Here is a 2,159-nt window from a genome sequence, read left to right on the forward strand (position 1 = left end):
GACCACTTTCTTTCTGCTTGTCCACGTTTATAGCATCAAGCTGCTTTGCATGCACCCCAAAGGCTCCTGGTGGCAGGCAGGACTCTAAGTCATCCAGCTTCACATGACACTTCTCTCAGCCTGGTGATCATTTCCAAGACCATGCCTCATTAAATCAGCCGGCCAGTGCTTGGATGCTTCAAATTTATGGTAGAGTCATGACACCAAAATGCTTGGGGCTGTCCATCAAAACAGGCTTCATTAACAAATACTGAAAATGAAAGAATTCTTCCTAGGCTCTACTCCTCGACAATCAGATGATGACTGGGGGTCACCACAGATCCTTGAACAGTTTGCATGATTTGCAATCCTGTCAAGTGATCTATTTTGAATGACTGTTGTAGGAGAGAGGGAGAAGTGGAGAGGCAAGAAGAAGAGGTTCAGATTTTTCTTTTCTTGGCTTTATTTTACAGAATCAAACCGTCCCTCTTCCTGTTTTTGACAGTCTGCAGTGGCAGAAATCATCACGTTATGGTATCAAAAGCAAGTAGTTTTCCTTGTCCTACCACAATAATAAGTTTAGGCTGCATCATTGTAAATCATTAAACTTCCAAGATGGATAGATATTTAGCAATCAAATGATCTCTCCTCTTATTTTACTAATGAAGAAACAGGGGCCCAGGAAGTTTAGGTGAGATATGTGAAGCCACAGGGTCCTGTTGACATGTACGGTTTCTACCTCATCTCTAATATGGCAATAGCACCTCCATTTTCCTTTAAGTAAATAGCCTTTTTAATTCTCAGTGCATATGGCTCAGGCAAGGCCCACCTGAGTTTGCCTGGGACCTGCCATCAAGCTCCAAGTTCCAATAGTTGGCAGGGAACCCAGGTTTGGTCAATTAAGTGATTGAATTAGGTTCATTCTAGTGGCCCTAGCTAGGCCAATGACATGATGTTCCTGGAATTGACCTAGAACTATTAATAAAGGGAAGCTCTCTTTCCCATTAGGGTTGCTGAGCTGGTTGGGTGTAGTCTTGGAACTACCAGAGACTATATGCTAAGAAACCACCTACTACTGAAGCCAGCATAGCAATCAATGGCAAGAAGAAACAAAGAAATACTCATTTTTCATGATAATATTAAGGCTCTGGGTCAAATTTTAGGAATTTTCAGTAGCCTGAAATAGTACTATTACTGATTAATCGATTGATTTTTAATTTAAGCCATTTTGAGTTAGGTTTCTTCATTTATAAACCAAAAAATTTCTGACTACATTAGAGCTATCTAGATCACAGGTCATTCTGAGGTCTGGACCAGAGACCTCTCTACTTTCTCATTAAGAGCAAGGGTAAGAATAAACAACAAGAGTTACCAAAGAATATTAATAAGTTCAGCTATAATTGCGACCAAAAGATTGAACTTGCAGAATCTTAAGCAGAGATGTCCCTGCTAGGCTTAGAGGCCTTGGAGAAGACCAGCTAGCAGCAACATTGTGCTTAATTGTAATCCCCAACCAAAAATGATGAGGTGTGTCACATTCATTTTCCCTTTGCAACTTGGCCCCTTCCTCACTAATGTGACCTTGAACACTTTTTGTCTTATCTCTTGTTCTGGATAGCTATTTCCATATAGCAAACCACCACCAAAAATAAAAGTGACCTAAAACCATGACAACAATTTATTTTGCTTACAGTTTTGAGGGTTAATTGAGCTCAGGTAGTGTGGGTGCTCTCAAGTGCCTACAGTCAGATGTTGGCTGGGTCTGAGGTCATCTCAAAAGCTTTTCACTAAACTATTTAGTACCATGGCTGGAAATAATTAAAAAGCTGAGGTAGAAGAGCTGAGGCTTCTTTAGCATCTCCTTCTCCTCTCTGTGATCTCTCCAAGTGAGACCTACGTATGGTGGTCCAAGGATTCTTAGGCTTCTTACATGACAACTGAAGGCACGCAGATCAGGTGTTATGAGAATAATCAGCAGAAGCTGTGTGGCCTTTTCTAACATAGAGTCAGAAGTCATTCAGCATCATGTCTGCCATGTTTCGTTCATCACGATAGTCACAAGGACTCAATAGGTTCAAAAGTAGGGACAAAGACATCCCTTTTGTTGGGCCAAGTGTTAACACGTTTTCAGACATGCTTTTCCTAAAATTTTTATTTTAAAAGAAATATAGACCTAGGAA

Source organism: Homo sapiens, chromosome 20 (assembly GCF_000001405.40).
Source record: "Homo sapiens chromosome 20, GRCh38.p14 Primary Assembly".
In the NCBI taxonomy this organism is placed as follows: domain Eukaryota; kingdom Metazoa; phylum Chordata; class Mammalia; order Primates; family Hominidae; genus Homo; species Homo sapiens.